Genomic DNA, 16050 nt, shown 5'->3' on the forward strand with positions numbered 1-16050 from the left:
GCTCACTACAACCTCTGCCTCAGGGTTCAAGCAATTCTCCTGTCTCAGCCTCCTGAGTAACTGGGATTACAGGCACCCACCACCATGCCCGACTAATTTTTGTATTTTTAGTAGAGATTAGATTTCACGATGTTGATCAGGCTGGCCTTGAACTCCTGGCCTCAGATGATCCACCTGCCTTAGCCTCCCAAAGTGCTGGGATTACAGGCATGAGCCACTGCACCTGGCCTCCCTTAAATTTAAATTCCCTTAAATATTCCTTTTGAAAGATGCTTTTTACCATTGCTAAAGAAGTGGAATGATTTCAAATTAATTTCAAAATAATTTCAAATTAATTTCAAAATTCTCCCACTAAAAGTTGCTGACATATTAAAGGAAATGATATTTATGCATGTTTTCTAAAAGCTAGATGTAGAAAACTTGCTCGGAGTAATTTGATTCAACAAAAGAGTTTAGTAGTTTCCTTGAAAGATAATCCTGAAATCAATACCTTTAATTTACATTAGGCACTCAAAGAAAATAAACACATTTCCCTACTTAAAAGGCTGGTCCAGGTACTTTTTTTGTGCTAGAAAATCAAGGCTGAAATATCTTTACTTTGTATTGATTCAGATTTTAAATTGTTCTTTGAAAAGTATATATGGAAACAGATTTTTAAAAATGTATAAATAGATAAACATGTATAAGCAGAGTTTTAAATGTATAGAAAAACAGATTTAAAAAACATGTCCACCAAATGGACATCTTTTCCTACTATATTCAGTAACCTAAATGACCCTATCCCTTCTCAGCTTATCTTAATTTTAGTATACAGTTGCCCTTCTTCCATTAATTAATCAATAAGCTCATTCATTCACATAATCAGTCATTGTTGATGCCTGTTATATCCAAGGCACTCTATATTCTATATGCTTTATATTCTATGTACTCTATATTCTGGAGACATCAAGATGAAAAGTTCAGATTAAAATTTTCCTGACTCCATTTTTAAAAAGTTAGTTTTTACTTTTATGGTTAATTGTCTTAATTTAACAAGTGTCCATTTAGGATGTAATCTGTGCTCAGTACTGTTGTACATCATGATCTATATTCTCTCTAGAAGCTAGCATTTTATCCCATTGATTTAAATAATGTCTAATGAATTTTAAGTTCTTCATGTGGTTAGTGTTTTACATTTTATGAGTAATAATGAAATGGAAGATTCAAGCAAACTCCATTTTCCTGAGAAATATGCATCTCTTTATTTCCCAATGTTAATTATCTAAATGCTGTTAGTTAATGCTATATTACTACAAGCTTTTTTTTAAAAAAAGAGACAATATCCTTTCTTAAAAGAATGTTATAAATATAAAAAAGTACTTGTGTTAAATAAATGTTATTGTTCATTTTTAGAGAAATCGAGTGTTTTCTTGGCAGAGATGGGAGAAGAAATGTAATTGCTTAAATAATTAAGTATTCATGCTTGGAAACCCAACTTCTGTTGCAGGGTTAACATATGAACTGGTGATTAACTGACAAAAATTAAGCATATGTGTTTGGATCATGGTTTCTGTGGAGGCCATAGATTTGCTTTATGGAAACTTGAGCTTCTGTATAACAGAGTTTGAAACCATTACATGATCAGGTCATTTAGTAGGACAACCCAATAAAAGGTAACTTGAGGCCCCATGATAAGAAAGTGTCTAAGAACTAAGTGATATGGTTACTTACCAATTAAAATGAGAAAAGTCATACTCTTTTAGTTTTCATCTGTTATGGTCATGGGGAAAATATTTCTTTGAATTCGGTCCTGAACCCATCTGAGACTTGGGGAACATTAGCAGCTTCTCAGTGCATACTTTCTAGGGAAGGAGATAATGGAAGACCCTTTCTTCCTGTCTTCTGTGGTCTCTCTTGGGAGCCCAGGTCTTACTCAGAATAGGTTCTCATACTTAGAGGAAACTCAGATTGCTTTGGTCTTAGCCTGTAAATCAAAGGGTGAAGACTTTTTCTGTTTTCCTTAAGAGAGTTCTGCCCTCAGTAGAGGGCAGAGAAAGAATATGTGTCATTAATCACTTGAGAATTGTTTACAACTATAATCTAGAGAGCACTTACTTGCCCATGGCAGGCAGTAAAGTTACCTTGGTTGTGTAAGAATAACCTGAGTGGTTTACTCAGACTGTTCACAAATGTTTGGACATCATTCAAGGGCTGTCCAAGTCTGACTAGTTAGCTTTATGATATACTCAGATACACTCAGATTCACCTTTATACCATCCAATCACATTTAAAGGAGGGTGTTTCCTGAAATTGCAACATTACTGACTTCCCAGCCATGTGACATAGCTTTTCAGACTCTAAGTTAAATTTTAACCCAGACATCTCTCTTCAATTCAGGTCACCTACAGGCCAGACAAAGCCAAGGTCATGTATTGAGTGAATATAAGGAGTTTTGTTGGTTCTAATAACTGTAATGTTATTCACTGGTTGAAATACTATACCATGGTTAATCATAAGTTGCAGCTGTTGTGTCCTTTTATTTATGAGCCCTTAATCAAGAGGACACAGCAAGAGCCACTGTTTGAAAGGAGCCTTTCATGAGGTCTTCTCTTTGGGTGCTCCTTCTTGTTTCATTGTGAAAAGAAGAGAAGTTTATATTGCCTTGCAAAAGTTATTAAATAGTATATGTTGGCTTCTCTGAAAACAGATTTTTCTATTCCAAATTTGAAAGATCAAATTATAATCTTTATATTTCAGCTGATGATAATAGAAACACTAAGCCTGTGCTCTCCAAACAATGTCTTTTAATTGGTGCCAAGTTTGATTGAATCTCAATATCAGCCATCAGAAGTTATATGTTGGCTCTCTGAAAACAGACTTTCCTATCCAGAATTCAGGTTTTCTATTTGTGACAATATGTCTCTGCTGATGTTAAGGTAAACAGACCAGAGCTCTTTGTGCAGCCCTTTTTACTGGTCCTGAACCTGATGAATGAGATTTTAAATGTAAGTCAATCTCTCTCTCCTTTTTTAACTTTTTGGTTTTAAATCCTCCCTTATTTTATGAGAATTCATCTTATGAGTTACCCTTGTTAAAATATTGGCATATCCAGGAGTTTGAATAGGGTCATTTTCTGAATGGATTTTGGAATAATTACGTAAATTGATTTTTCTGATCAAGGAATTTAGTGATAGGTTATATTTTCAAATGTGTTGATTGTCAGCTTCATCCTAAATTGCAATGTAACACAAAAGCTGGTACACAGCTCTTTTCTTTGAGACACTCAAAATGTTTCCAAACTTTAAATTCATACTTTTTACTGATAACATTTTTGTGGATCTCATTCAGGTAAACTTTTCTTCTTCACTTGTTGATCCCGCGTGACCCCTCCAGCCACACAGGTTTCATGTGCTTCCCTGAATACAGCATGCACTTAGCACCCTTTATAGCCTGGATAGTGTTGTTACCCCAGACTAGAATTCTTTCCTCATCTCCATTACAATACTTGACATCCTTCAAGACAACACTCAAATGCTACTTATATCATTAAATTTCCTCCCTGATTTCTACTTGGACTTAAATGTTGCTCTTTGTACCACTTTATTTGACCTGTTGCTGAAGCACTTAGTTCACTGTACCTTGTATTTTAATTGATTTTGTACATGTTTTTTCCCTCAACAAGAAGCAAACTTATTGAGGTCTGGGACCATATCTTCAAGCAGCCTCCAGATAATTGGCTTGGCACAAAATTGCATGCATCTCTTGTTTTCTCATAACTGGATGGAAACAATGATATTTAGATTTATCAGAACTGCTACAGAGGGCTAAAGGGATGCAAAAACACTTGGTAAAATTCAAAATTCTCTTTAAAGTAGTCAGTATTGTTCTCAAAACAATTACATCAAACTTTTAGTGACTGAAGTGTTGTAATAATTTGTGATTTTCAAAGATACTCAAAATTTAAGGTGAACAGTGAGCCAGAACACAAGATGATATACCTAATCTCATTCACCAGTCTGTTTTGACCAAGTCAAGTTGAGGCAAGAATGCTGGGAACAAGCTTTTCTGATTGAATGTGTTAATTTAGCCCGCCTTCAAACTTCTTAACCAATGGCTTCCACTCTACCACCTTTCAACGCTTTTTTTTCTGTAAGATGGCATGTTATCTGTTAGAAATAATGGGGATCACATTCATTATACCAGCAGTAGTCTCTCTGTGATCACACTCATTAGACTGTTTACTACCACGAATTCTGGGAGAAATGGCCTGGGACATTAAAAGAAACAAACAAGCTAAGAGGGCTGTCTAGGACCAATGACAGTTATTGGATTTGTTTTAAGAATTAAGCTTATGAGTTACACTTTTTTCCTTTGCAGCATAGATGAAAATCATCACTTGAGGAACATTTCAACATCATAGTTGCAAGTATAACTTACACAATGGAAAATGTTTTTCATTTTGAGAAGAGGCAATTGCTATTTTGTAATGGAACGCAAGGACTACTGGAGATAAAACTTGCATGCAAGACCAGTACAGCTTGATGAAGGGAGCAGAGTCTAGTTTAACCTCTAAATTAGGAGATGTTTGTTTTAATTTTACTGCTATTCCAGGCAAGAAATATTAAGTGTCTGCTGTGTTCAGGACTGCTAAACATTATGGACAATACAGTAATAGTAGAAGACATGGTGTCTGCCCTTGAGGGAGTGAAAATTGAATAGACAACTCTTAACTATCAGGATCAACAAAAAAATGGTGTTAGTTAGGGAGTAATAAAAGTGCCACACGGCTAACTACAAACCAGAAGGCCAGGGACGGATTACTGTGAACTCAGCTGCTGTGTAGCTTTGAGTTTCTTGAATATTGTCCATGACCCATTTATTTTGTTTTAAATAGAGAATTATATCTGCCCTCTACCAAATACACAGGAATAATCTGAGTAATGTTTATAACTGTGATCTGAGAACTTTTTGAGTCTTTTGCAAATCTGTAAACACAGAGTGAGAATGAGATATGACAGTGTGGTAAAAGAGGACTTTTGAGATTTATTAATATTTAGAAGTACAAGGGGGAAGAATACTTTTATAGTATGATTATAATGTTAAAGATATTCTTCCTTTAGTTTTATAAAATGTGGCTTTTGATCAGTAAGTGGCAACTTAGAAGAAAAGTCTATCCTAAGTTGATTTGCTATTCCTTGACCTTAAGAACTATAGAACACTTTATTTTCTCCTAAGACCACTTTTTTGTTTTTATTTTACTCCATTCATTAATTCATTCAGCACATAATAACGAAGTATGTACTTGGTGGCAAGCACTGTGGTAGGACCTGGGGATATGAAGTTGAAGAAGACCTGGGCCATATCTCTAAAAACCTTGTGAGGGGAAACCAAGGGGGAAAAAGTTTCTACTATTTTAAATAATTAGAATAGATTTTATTTTATAGTTAAATTTGAAGAAAACTACAATTTTAGTTAGATTTACTATGCCATCTTTACTCATTTGTTCACTCCCATTCGTTCATTTTTCAAGTTAATGGGTGCTGGAAACCTGAGTCATCCTTGACATGTCCCTTTCATTTGCCCTCCAAATGCAAACAACCACCTGTTGTTTCAGTCCTTTCAAATGCCTGCCTCCAGAATGAGCATTAAATCTGTCAACATATTTACCATCTCAGCTTCTCCAGTCACCTCCTAACTGCTCTCCCAGTTTCCACTCTTACTTACCTCTAATTAACAGCTTTCAGACTTTTTTGAGGATGACCTACAATTAAAAAATACATCCATGATACTCCCAGTACACATACTTGTGTTGCTATGTATCTATAAGTAAATCCAAAATCAAAGATTAACAGAATAATACGTATCTTTTCTCAGTATCATGCATTTTGATATTTTTAAAAATTATATTCCTGGCCGGGCATGGTAGCTTACACCTGTAATCCCAGCACTTTGGGAGGCTGAGGCAGGTGGATCACCTGAGGTCAGGAGTTCGAGACCAGCCTGACCAGCAGGGAGAAAACCTGTCCCTACTAAAAATACAAAATTAGCCAGGCATGGTGGCACATGCCTGTAAACCCAGCTACTTGGGAGGCTGAGGCAGGAGAATCCCTTGAACCCAGGAGGCAGAGGTTGTGGTGAGCCGAGATCACACCATTGCACTCCAGCCTGGGCCACAAGAGCAGAGCTCTGTTTCAAAAAAAAAAAAAAAAACAACAATTAGGGGCCAGGTGCAATGGCTCATGCCTGTAATCCCAGCACTTTGGGTGGATCACGAGGTCAGGAGTTCAAGACCATCCTGGCTGACAAGGTGAAACACTCTCTACTAAAAATACAAAAAGATTAGCTGGGCGTGGTGGCAGGCGCCTGTAGTCCCAGCTACTTGGGAGGCTGAGGCAGGAGAATCGCTTGGAGCTTGCAGTAAGCAGAGATTGCGCCACTGCACTCCAGCCTGGGCGACAGAGTGAGACTCCATCTCAAAAAAAAAAAAAAAAATTATATTCCTTTGTCGCTTTCTTGCTGGGCATGATTAATTAAATTCACTTTATGATCCATTAATGATGTGAAATTTACTGTTCTAATACTTTTAAACACAGGTTGTTTAAAGCCAGGGTGATAGGTTTATATTATTTCCCTGCTTAAAATGTTTCATTGGCTTCTGGTTGTACTTTTAGAATTCAACGTAGAAATCATTGTATGGCCTACAAAGTCCTGCATGGTCCCACTCTGCCTCCTCCTCACTCTTTCCTACTTCTCCACATCTTCACACAGGTTCTTTCCTCTCCATGGAATAATAGTCTTCCTTCCCCAATCTTCACCTTGCCAATTGCTATTATTCTATGGGTCTCTGTGTAAAAATCACTCCTTTAAGAAAATTAGATCTCCCCTTATAATTCCTCTTCCTCCTCTTTTTATTCACTGTATTTATTATAATTGTATAATTATATATTTATTTGTATGACTTTTTTATTTAATATTAGTGGCCCACACTAGATTACAGGTTCCCCAATATCTAAGACCAGATCTGTTTTGTTTATTGCTATATCTACAATACCTGGTATAGTCCTAGCATAATCAGCAAATATTCTTGGTATGAACTTTGGATCAAATGCTATGCTTGCCCCACAAAGGTGAATAAAACATAGACTTTATTCTCAAGGAGTTCTACTCTTTTGACATGGAGTATACTTTGTTTGAAGACAGGTATCTAAAAGACAAAACAGGTTAATAAACATCTTAGAAAGGGTATTAGAATGCTGGAAATCCTATAAACAATGGCTTCTTTAGTTTAAGACTCTAACTGGAGGGAAGTTTTCCTTATTTACTCATGATACTAACTCAAGGAAATGCAATGATTTTTTTTAAAGGAAGCAGAGATATTATTCTTTTATTGAGGTAAAATTTCTAGAGATTGAAATGCACAGATCTTAAGTGGACAATTCAATGAGCTTTGAAAAAAATATTTTCTTGTGTTCCCTTCCAGTCAATCTCAAGCCTCCTTAGGCAATCACTCTTCTGATTTCTATCACTACAGATTAGTTTTTCCTGTGCTTGAAACTCACATACGTAGAAATCAAGCACTGATATCTGGCTTCTTTCAGACGGCCTTTCTTTTTAGATTTATCCATGTTTTGTGTGTATTTTTTGTTAATTCCTTTTTTAGTAATGAGTAGTATGCCATTGTAAAAATATAAGACAATTACTTTTTAGCCATTCTTTTAGGGATAGATATGTGGGTAATTTTCACTTTAGGGTTATTATGAATAATGCCATTATGAATATGCTTATACAAGTTCTGTTTTTGAAATTGGTGGGTCAGAGGATAGACGAATGTTTAACTCTAAAATAAAGTGCCAAACTGTTTCCAAAGTAGGTTATACAAATTTTCCATTACCAACAGAAATATAAAATAATTATGTTTGTTCTACAGTTTCACTAAGAGCTTTTTTCTTTAATTTTAGACATTCCAGTAAGCTTGAAACAGTCTTGCACTGTAATTTTAATTTTGATTTCACTGATGACTAATGATATTGAATACCTTTTCATGTGCTTATTAAGCACTCACATATTCTTTTGTGAAGTGTTTCTTCAATCTTTTGATCAGTTTTATTGGCTGTTTGTCTTTTTATTGTTGGTTTTGGAAGTTTTTAAAAATATATTCTGAATATAAGTCCTTTTTCAGATATATGTACTATAACTATGTCCTCGCAGTCCGTGGCTTGTCATTTTACCTTCTTACTGGTGTCTTTATTGAGCAAGTTTTAATTAAAATGGTTAGTTCTTTTTATAGCCTTTTAAAGAAATCTTTGTCAACCTCATGGTTGCAGCAATCTTCTTCTACACCTTTTTCTAGAAGCTTTATTGTTTCATCTCTTATGTTTATGATCAATCCTGAATTAATCTCTATGTGTGTCATGAGGTAGCTATCAAGGTTCATTTTTTTCCCATATATTTTTCCAGCGTTCTCTAGCTATCTTTTGAAGGGTTTTCTCTTTTTATTAAATTATCTTGGAGCCTTTGTAAAAATTATCAATTTACTGCATATGCTTTACTCTAACTGGACTCTCCATTTCGTTCCACAGCAGGATTTGCTATCTTTACACCACTCCTATGTTGCTTAGGCTCTGAGGCTTTATACTAAGTCTTAATATCAGGTAGTGCGAGTTCTCTGACTTTGTGAGTTTTTTAAAAAATCAATTTTTTTGGTATAAATATTTTGCACTTCATATAAATTTTAGATTCAGCCTGAAAATTTTGAGAAAAAACTATTAAGTTTTCACTGGGATTGTAATGAATCTGTGTTGAACTCAGGGTGAATTGACATCTTTAATAATATGGAATTTTCCATGACCATGATCATGTTTTCTCTCCCAATTGATTAGGTCTCCTTTAATTTCACTCAGAAATATCTTATGGTTCTCAGTGCAGAGGATTGTGATGGTATTTTGAATGACTATGAATAAATTTTTGGCTGATATATTAAGTCAATAATAGATACCTTTGATTTTTATTATTATTTCTATATTATTATGCAGTTCTCAGCCTTGAAGTTTGAAAGACTTTAATAAGACATTGACACCAGTCTCCCACTTAATGCTGGAATGCTCAATTACAAATCCCTGGCAAATGTTCATTAGACTTTGAACTCTTCCAATGCTGGAGAAATAACTGTTACACAAAACACCCTATTCCATTTGGGGACAGTTTGAATTGTTGGAAACGTTCTTTTTATATTGAGCTAGTTTTCTGCCTGTTGTCTGCCCTTTGGAGTCATGGAGATGAGTTTGCCCTCTCTCCTACAGAGTACCCTCCAGCTATTCGTAGATAGCTAATCTGCCCAATGAATTCTTTTTTCTTGTTGAAACAATTCTAGTTTCTCTACTTATTCCTCGCATGACATGATTTTTGTATCTTTTCTCTTTCTCTGACTCTTTTGACATGCTCCAGTTTTCTGTATTTTCTTTAACTTTTGGCATCCAGAATAGAAGCAACACTCCAACTGTGTCCAGACCAGTGCAGAGCACAGAAAGACTATTTTTTTTCCTTACTCTGAACACTATACTTCTGCTAATCTGGCCTTAAATATCATCAGGGTTTTCAGCAGCCAAGTCACACTGTTGGCTCATGTAATGTTCACTGTCAGCTAAAACCCCTAGATCTTTTTCACATGAACTCTTATTCAGACTGCTCATTCTTTCATCCTGAACTTAGGCCTGTAATAGTTTTCTTTCTTGTGTTCATGTAATAGAGTTTACATTTATTCCCATTCAGTCTCAGAACTTCAGACCAATCTTCTAGTCAGTCTTTTGTGGAGTCTATAGGCTTGACAAAAGAAAAAACTCAGACTCCAGTGAATACCACAAACAGTTATTTGCTTTAGGTTCAGGAAATGAAAATGTGCTGGTTTTAAGTTTCTGAAGTTGCCTCCCTCCTTCATCTCATTCCGTCCTCCCCCTTCAGTTCTTTGGTCCGAGACCCAATAGAGGATGTCTACAGCCACTCTCCCTCTAGGGAGGGCCTGGGTCTCATCTTCCACCCACTGCCATTCAATAATAGCTTGGGTCTGTCTTGGCTAAGCCAAGGGAACATCCAGCTTCACTGAGAAAACCTTTGCTGCATGGTGATACGCCACCTACTTGCACTGTAGCGTTGTCTGGCAGGTTTGGCCCATTGTCTCCCAGAGGAAACAGAAAACAACTCCCCAGCAACCCGCCAATCTCTTTTGTCCCCACAGTCGAGCTCTGGAAAATATCTGAATGCCACAGAAGTGGGAGTACCCTTTGATGTTTATATTGGCTGGCTCCTTTTCCTTTTTGCTTTTTCTTTTTTTCATTTAATAATCAGGGTAGTAGAAAATGCGGAGAATTAACCGCATGACAGCAGCAGAGGAATTCATTAGAGAAACAGAGATGAATTCTGCTCAGATTTCAGGCTCTCAGGCAGAAGACACAAAGGAGTAATCGTCTTCTAGTTTTTTTTAATCATTTCTTTTGTGGCACCTTCCTTGTCCATGAAGGCAATCTCAGCGTCTGGCATGGGGGAGCCCAAGAACATAGGCAGTGCAAATGGTGGCTTTGATTTGGGGATTATTACAGCAATATTAACCACTTCCTTCTTACCTCTCTTTGAAAAGATGGAGCTTGTCATTCTTGGAGAAGGCAGTGAACAGTGCTATGTTATTGCTTTTATTTAAAGTATTACCCACTAAAACTTCATTTTAAAATTGGGAAAAATGTGCATAACATTTTACTATGGAAAATTCTTGAACAGAGCAAAAAATGCTGAGGAATATAATTTTGCAAATGTGTTCTCTTCTAACTTAATATCCTCAGAGACCCTTCCTTTTATGAGCCTCAAAGACAGCTTTAGTGATGGCTTACACAAAACTAAGTAAATTTACGCATACAATTTTACTTGAAGGAAGTTGGTAAAATAAATCAATAATTTTTTTTTCTTCTTGAGACAGAGTGTCACTCTGTCACCCAGGCTGGAGTGCAGTGGTGTGATCACGGCTCACTGTAGCCTCAACCTTGCAGGTTCAAGTGATCCTCCCACCTCAGCCTCCCAAGTAACTGGGATCACAGGCATGTGCCACTATGCCTAGCTAATTTTTTTTTTTATTTTTAGTAGAGATGAGGTCTCGCTATGTTGCCCAGGCCGGTCTCAAACTCCTGGACTCGAGCAATCCTCCCGCCTTGGTCTCCCAAAGTGGGATTACAGGTGTAAGCTACCATGCCCATCCACATGGTTTTTTCTATAATTGTACAAAGGCAGCAGCTGGATCCCCAGAAGCTACTGGTAATACTAAGATTTCCCTCCCAAAGTCGAAAGTAGTCCTGATTGCTTTGCTTAAGTAGTAGAGTTTCATTACTATTTTAATTCCTCATGAATTTTTTAAAAAATACAAATCATATTCGGAGTTTCATATTGAAATTATTTAAGAGAAAATTTTTTTCTCAAGTACTGTTACACACTTTAAAAGCGTGTATGTAATTTATTGATTTTATAAATATAAATGATTTGCATCTTATGAGAGCAAGTTCTATAAAGCTCTTTCTTGGTTACAATTTTTAGCATGGTTTTATTTTTAAGTAAACATATCTACCTGAAAGCAATGAAAAGAACAGTTTTGAATCTTAGTGATATTTCTGGAAAGAGAACTCATTAACCTGAAGTACTCATGCATATAATTAATTTAAAAACCATTTGGTTTTAACCTTAAGCTAATCCAATCAACTTGTGCTTTCATCAAACATTTAAGGCCTAACAGGGACAGGTCTGGTATCACAAAAACTTTCCCAGGGAATACTCTTCTTATGGCTCATCTTAGGACATAGGCTGTAGAACTATGTCCTAGAACCAGACCATTAGCAAGTAAGTCACCTTTTCATACCATGTTTCTCCTACCTGTCAAGCGAAGATGCAGGCACTTGCCACCTGTCAATGGGAGAAAATACTGTATATCAATCTTTTTTATATCAGTGATAAGGAGGAAGGATAGTGATGACTGTGGCCTGTAGAGGGTATAGGGAAGGCTCTGTGGAAGAGGAGAGATTTAAATAAGGCTTACAAGAATATGTAGGATGTTAGTCAATGACCGTTTTTTGAGAATATTGATAAAAAGGCATTTAAGATATGTTGCCTGCTTCTGATTTGGATTGGCATAGAAAAGGCATGAAGACAACATCAGAAAGGGAGTAAAAGCACAGGTGTGTCAAAGCACATGCAGGCATATCTTGGAGATATTGAGGGATTGGTTCCAGACCACCACAATAAAGTGAATATGGAGAAAAACTGAATATTGTAATAAAGGTACTCACACAATTTTTTTGGTTTCCTAGTGCATATCAAAGTTATGTTAATGCTATACTGTAGACTCTTAAGTGTACAGTACCATTATGTCTAAAAAACCAATGTATATACTTTAATTAAAAATAATTTATTGCTAAAAAATGCTAATAATCATCTGAGCCTTCAGTGAGTTGTAATCTTTTTGCTGGTGGAGTGTTTTGCCTGGATGTTAGTGGCTGCTCTCTGATCACGGTGGTGGTTACTGAAGGTTGGGGTGGATGTGCCACTTTCTCAAAACAAGTCAACAGTGAAGTTTACTGCATTAATAGACTCTTCCTTTCATGAAATATTGCTCTATAGCATGTCATAATGTTTGATAACACTTAACCCATAGTAGAACTTTAAAAATTTGAGTCAGTCCTCTCAAACCCTGCTGTTGCCTTATCAACTACGTTTATATAATATTCTGAATCCTTTGTTGTCATTTCAATGATGTTCACAGCACCTTCACCAGGAGTAGATCCCATCTCAAGAAACTACTTTCTTTGTTCATTCATATGAAGCAACGTCTTTTTTTTTTTTTTTTTTTTTTTTTTGAGACGGAGTTTTGCTCTTGTTGCCCAGGCTGGAGTGCAATGGTGTGATCTTGGTTCACCGCAGCCTCTGCTTCCCGGGTTAAAGCGATTCTCCTGCCTCAGCCTCCTCAGTAGCTGGGATTACAGGTGTGTGCCTCCACACCTGGCTAATTTTGTATTTTTAGTAGAGACGGGGTTTCTCCATGTTGGTCAGGCTGGTCTCGAACTCCCAACCTCAGGTGATCTGCCCACCTCAGCCTCACAAAGTGCTGGGATTACAAGCATGAGCCACTGCGCCCAGGCATGAATCAACTTCTCATCAGATTTTATCATGAGATTGCAGCAATTCAGTCACAGCTTCAGGCTCTACTTCTAATTCTAGTTCTTTTACTATTTCCTTCACATCTGCAGTGACTTCATCCAGTCTTAAACCCCTCAGAGTCATCCCTGAGGGTTGGAATCAGTTTCTTTAAAACTCCTGTTTATGCTGATATTTTGACCTCCTCCCATGAATCATGAATGTTCTTAATGGCACCTAGAATTGTGAATCTTTTCCAGAACGTTCCCAATTTATATATTTTGTGAAGATCCATCAGGGGAATCACTATCTGTGGCAGCTATAACCTTACAAAAATTTATTTCTTAAATATTAAGACTTGAATGTTGAAATTATTCCTCGACACATGGGATACAGAATCAGGCATGAAAACAACCTTAATCTTATGTATCTCCATCAGAGCTCTTGGGTGACTAGGAACATTGTCAATGAGCAGTACTATTTTGAAAGAAATCTTTTTCTCTGAGCAGTAGGTCTCAACAGTGTGTTTAAAATATTCATTAAGACATACTGTAAACAGATGTGCTGCCATCCAGACTTTGTCGTTCCACTTCTAGAGCACAGGCAAAGTAGCTTTTGCATAAATCTTAGGGACTCTGGGTTTTCAGAATGGTAAATGATCATTGGCTTCAAGTTAGAGTCATCAGCTGCATTAGCCCCTACCGAGAGAGTCAGCCTGTCTTTTGAAGCTCTGAAGCTAGGCATTGACTTCTGCTCTTGAGCTTTGACAGTCTGAGATGGCACCTTCTTCCAATATGAGGCTATTTTGTCTACATGAAAAATCTGTTGTTTAGTTGAGTCGCCTTCATCAATGATCTTAGCTAGATCTTCTGGATAAATTTCTGCAACTTCTACATCAGCACTTGCTGCTTCACTTTGTATTTGTATGTTACAGAGGTGGCCTCTTTCCTTAAACAACTCATGAAGCAACCCCTGCTAACTTCCAACTTTTCTTCTGCAGCTTTCTGATCTCTTTCAGCCTTTGTAGAATTGAAGAGTTAAGCCCTTGCTCTGGATTAGACTTTGGCTTAAGGGAATGTTGTGGCTGGTTTGGTCTTCTAGCTAAACTACTAAAATTCTCCCTATGAGCAATAAGGTTGTTTTGCCTTCTTATCATTCATGTGTTCATTGGAGTAGCACTTCTAATTTCCTTCATGAACTTTTGCTTTGCATTCATAACTTGGCCAACTGTTTGGCACAAGAGGCCTAGCTTCCTGCCTGATTCAGCTTTTGACTTTCCCTCACTAAGCTAAATTATCTCTAACTTTTGATTTAAAATGAGAGAAGTGTGATTCTTTCTTTCACTTGAACACTTAGAGGCTATTGTAAGGTTATTAATTGAACTAATTTCAATATTGGTATTGTCTCAGGGAATAGAGAGGCCCAAGGAGTGGGAAAAAGATGGGGAAATAGCTGGCCAATGGAGCAGTCAGAATACACATATTTATCAATTAAATTTGCTGTCATATATGAGTGTAGTTCATGGCACCCACAAACAATGACAAGAATAACATCAAAGATCACTGATCACAGGTCACCATAATAACATAATCATAATTGAAAAAGTTAGAAATATTGTGAGAATTACCAAATATCACACAGAGACATGCATGAGCACATGCTATTGGAAAAATGGCACTAATAGACTTGTTTGATGCAGAGTTGCCACAACCTTCAATTTGTAAAAGTTGAAGTATCTGTGAAGCACGATAAAGTGGAGTACAATAAAGTAAGGTATGTCTCTAGTGTGTTTGTGTACATTAAGTGGTGGAAGATGTGATTTAATTTTTTAAAAAATAGCCGTTTACCCTAGATAAATCAGTAAGAGATGAGTACAAGTATGTATCTACAAATTATTTTTATTTGTGCTCTTTATAAGAATTAAAAATTGAAAAACTCCCAAATAATTAATGAAGTAAATTATCTTTCAAGTATACACTGTATTGTTCTATAGCTATTAAAAATCATATTGTATAAAAATATTTATTCAAATGGGGAAATACTCATGATATAGGAAGAAGTGAAAAGTAGGTTATAAAACAGAATGTATAGTATGGTCCCCATTTTGGGAAATATATTTACACTTATGACAATAAAAAAATCAGACAGGATACATAATGAGTTGTTAGCAGTGGTTATATATACTCTGAGACCATGAGTTATTTTGATTTTTGAGAGGCGAGTGTGCTTGTTGGTGTTTTCAACTCTTTCCTACCATAAAATGTATTAATTCACTATTCAATTTTTTTAAGTTCTAAGAAGTTAGACACTTATTTATTTTAGGTGTTATACAGTCCATAGTGGAAATTTGAGATGAGTGACAGAATGAAAATAATATGGTTGCAGACAAATGTGATAAATATGTGTAAGATGTTTTTGAATAGACAAAGCCTATTTTAGGAGTGATGAATTGTAGCAATAATTTATTGTAAAATGATAGATGTTTGAAATAGGGTGGGAGTGGTAGGAATTCAAAGGAAGGGATAGATATGAAACATGAAGGATGAATGGGCAGTATGTGGTGAAATGGCTCTGAGAGGTGAGAGAGAGAAGACTCTTGAGGACAAGTGCAATGTTTCAACCTGCTTAGGATAATAAAGCCAATAAAAGATAGAGACAGCTTGTTTGGGGGCTGAGATAAAAGGTTTCAATCCAGGCTTTTTTGGTTGTTTTTTGTGTTGTTTTCTTTTCTTTTCTTTTCTTTTTTTTTTACTTTTTATTTGGAAGTAAGAAAGTTGCAAGAATGAAAACAGTCCACATAACAGTCAAATACCTTTACCCATATTCACCTGTTGCTAATATTTTACCACATTTGCTTTATAATTTACTCGATCTACATATGCATATATATGTATAATATTTTTCTGAGCC

At 36.2% G+C, this 16050-nt stretch overlaps 1 protein-coding gene across 12 annotated transcripts in view, besides 2 other annotated features; it reads left to right on the forward strand.

The window, feature by feature from the left end:
• The window catches only part of RAD51B (RAD51 paralog B), an 863318-nt gene that overhangs the window by 369958 nt on the left and 477310 nt on the right, over positions 1 to 16050 (forward strand). The window lies entirely within an intron of this gene.
• Positions 2156 to 2450: an enhancer, noted in NCBI's record as "tiled region #3110; K562 Activating non-DNase unmatched - State 24:Quies". NCBI's record gives its function as "activates a minimal TATA promoter and a strong SV40 promoter by Sharpr-MPRA in K562 cells {active_cell/tissue: K562}" and the evidence as "EXISTENCE:reporter gene assay evidence [ECO:0000049][PMID:27701403]".
• Positions 5482 to 5682: a silencer, noted in NCBI's record as "peak2183 fragment used in MPRA reporter construct". NCBI's record gives its function as "represses an SCP1 promoter by STARR-seq MPRAs in K562 erythroleukemia cells {active_cell/tissue: K562}" and the evidence as "EXISTENCE:reporter gene assay evidence [ECO:0000049][PMID:32103011]".

This window comes from Homo sapiens, chromosome 14 (genome assembly GCF_000001405.40).
Source record: "Homo sapiens chromosome 14, GRCh38.p14 Primary Assembly".
NCBI classification, from domain to species: Eukaryota; Metazoa; Chordata; class Mammalia; order Primates; family Hominidae; genus Homo; species Homo sapiens.